Source organism: Homo sapiens, chromosome X (genome assembly GCF_000001405.40).
Source record: "Homo sapiens chromosome X, GRCh38.p14 Primary Assembly".
NCBI lineage: Eukaryota > Metazoa > Chordata > Mammalia > Primates > Hominidae > Homo > Homo sapiens.
The window spans coordinates 94846559-94850140 of record NC_000023.11 but is presented as its reverse complement, the minus strand read 5'-3'; positions in this window follow the sequence as shown (position 1 = coordinate 94850140).

The window sequence follows — 3582 nt, the reverse complement described above, 5'->3', positions numbered from 1 at the left end:
ATTCACACTTGTGTGTGTGTATGTGTGCACATCTGTGTATACTGTTTATACATAAAGCATGGCAAATAACAGTTAATGACCCCTTTCATGAAACCAGAAAAAATAAAATAACAAAACTTTAGGTTAAACTGAAGTAAAAATTTTATATTTATTTGTTCTAATGTGTGAAAAGAGTAATCAAGCCTAGTATTTGCTTTGAAATGCAAGTTACACATATAAAATTTCATGTATATTATCACTTTTGGAAAGTACCACAAGAGGTAAGAATGCTTACTCAAGGTAATTGCTACAGCTGAAAGCAGAAAGGTAAATTTCATCTGAATTAGTAAATATTATGTATCATATTATATATGTGGTGTATTAGTCTAGTCCTTGTTTAGAAGCATAACAGGACTCTTGATTCATATGTTAACATATATTTTATAAATGAATGTCCATTTAAGATTTTTTTAAATCACAACTAGTTCACATATAAATTCAGAAAATTAAAATAAAAATTATTTTTCCAAATTGCCGTTCATCGTCCATCAAAATAAATGAAGCAAAATAGAGCAAGTTTGAATTGTTTTTAAATTTTCTGTAATCTTAAAGTTTTAATTTATTTTAAAGCAACTTTTATTGCTTTAATAAAATTACAAAAATAAGATGGCCTCATTTGACAGTATCTGAGAAATACATGGATGTATAAGTAATGAAAGTTGTTGCCTATAATCTTTTCACCAAATCTGTTTCCTCCCTTCTCCTTCACCTCCTCATCCACCATGTGCACTTAACAGAAGTAAAATCATTCATATATGAAATTGTGGTCAATATTTGTAAATGATTCATGTGTGCTTGAAAATAATACATATTACCTATATTTTTATATAGAATCATTTATGTATATTTAAAGAGATTGAGCTTATTCTGCTAAAAAAAATCATTTTCTAAGTTATATTCCTAATAGTTGTGTTTAAAAGGATTGTGTTAAAATTTCTCACTATAAAGATATAATGTTATTCTCTTCATTTTTGCTTGGAATTTTAAAGGCATGGAAGTTTCTGATTGTTCATTTTCTTAGTAGATTTTTCTTTTATCATAAAGAAATGCCTCTATTTTCTTTCTGCCACTGATTTTCATCTTCCTTACGTTTTGTCTCATATTAATATTGCTGTAACAACTTTCCTTTATTTGTATTTATATACCTTTTTCTACCTTCCTCCTATACTATTGCATTTCATGTGTGTTTATTGTAAATATCCTATATTTGAGTTTTAAAATCTAATCTGAGTCTCTGTATTTTGATGTGAGTCTACTCTGTTTATATTTATTATGTTTATATAATAGTGTTTTTTCTTTTTCTTAAATGATTTTGCTTTGTTTCTCAATCTTTCTTACCACCCTCTCCCTACAATTTTTTTTAAATTCAGATATCATAATTCTATTATGTTGCAATTCTTAATATATAGCAGGTATACATAACAAACTCTTTGCTTTTTTTCTTAAAAAGTCCCGTTACATCAGTATTTTAATATCTGCTAGACCTTTATAAGAAATTTGAGAATGTTTTAACTTTCCATTTCTCCTCTTGTCTTTCACACTCTTTTATATTCTTTAGCCCCACTTTGTTAACAAAATAATGTATACATATATATACACATATACACACATATATATGTATGCCTATGTGTGTGCTTTTGTATGTATATTTGTAATTACTATTTGTAATTACTATATTTGTCATTACTATTATTAAAATTTACCAACTTGTTTTAGAATTTACTTTGGTAACTATAGCCTTTTTAGCCATCCTTTCCTTCAAGTTTGTATTTCTTCTTACGAAAATCCATTATCTAATGATTTTCACTAAACTGTGAAAATGCACTTAGTTCACCTTCACTGTTAAATGATTATTTTATCTCAACATAAATAAAATAAATAAATGTATCTATGTCAAAGAGAAAGATAAAAAGTAATAACTGAGAATTTTGCAGATTGAATTATTGACCAAGTATTGCTCATTTACAATAAATGTCAAATGAACCAATTTAAACCATATACATTTATGAGTTTTTGCTAATGCATACTTTCATGTAACCAGCAATACCCCCTCAAAATACAGAATGTTTCAGTCACCTCAAAGTTTCTACTTGTCCTTTTTAGTCAATTCCCCCTCAATCACAGGAAAGCATTCTTCTGATTTCTATCACTGTAAGTGAGTTTACCTGTTCTAGAATTTGATATAAATGAAAGCATATGTTGTAGGTTAGTTTATGTCCAGCTTTTTCTTTCATTCAACATGTCTGTGAGAGTCATTTATGTTGTTGCATATATTAGTAGATTTTTGTTGTTTTCTTGAGTACTATTTCCTTACATAAAAATATCAAAATTTGTGTCTCCATTCCCTCGCAGGTGAGCACTTGGGATATTTCAGATGTTTCCCTGTTGTAATGAAGCTTTTTAAAAATGCTTTGCAAGTCTTTGGGTGAGCATGTGTTCTTATTTCTCTTAGATACATTCGTAGAAGTGGAATTGCTGTGTAGGTATATGTAGTAACTTTATGAGAAATTGCAAAATGTTACCTTGAAATGGTTCAACCATTTTACATTCTGTCCAGTGATATGTGAGAGTTCAGATTCTCTGCCACAAGCATTTGGTATGTCATTCTGCTTTGGTTTTGTTTTTGTTCTTTAGGCATTCTGATAGGTGAGTAGTAGAATTTTATTGTGAATTTAATTTTCATTTCCCTTATAACTAGAGATATTGAATACTTTATCCATGCTTACTAGGGGTTCATGTATAAACCATGCCTTTTAAATTATTTTACCAATCTTTATTGAGTTGTCTTTTTTGTTATTGAGTTTTAAGTGTCTCTCTCATGCACAAATACACAATATTTAAGCAAATATCTTATTTATGACTTGCCTTTTTATTTTTTACCAGTAACTTTTGATGATTATAATTTATACATTTTCCTTCATAGTTATTAGTTTTTGCATCATCTATGGAACTTTCACCTACTTGTAGAATCAAAAATGTACTTTTATATGTTCCTCTAGAAGATTAATGGTGAATAGGATTCCTCTTGAATTTTGAATTATTTTTATATACTAAAAAATGGCATTAAGTTCATTTCTCCCAAATGATTATTGATATATTTCATTACAATATCTTGGAAAGACTTTCCATTCCTTCATTGAATATCCAGAATATATAGAGATTTTTGCTGAGAAAACCTAAAATTAAAAACAGAAAAAAAGAGAGGCAGAGCAAGATGGTGGAATAGAAAGCTCCACTGAACATTCCTCTCCCACAATGACAGAAAGATAAGGACATTAGTGAGCAATAAATAACCACCTGAAAGTACAAAATGCACTAGTAATACTAAGTACACAGAAAAAAAACCCAGAATGTTATAACACTGTAACTGTAGTGTGTAAACTACTCTTATCCTAAGCGAAAGACTAAACAATGAAACAAGCAAAAATAGTAGCTACAACTTTTCAAGACATAGCACAAAAAAAAATAAATTAAAAAAACAAAAATTAAAAAGTGTGTCAACAAAGTTAAGGTGGCTTTTATTAGTTTTCTTTTTGCTTGTTT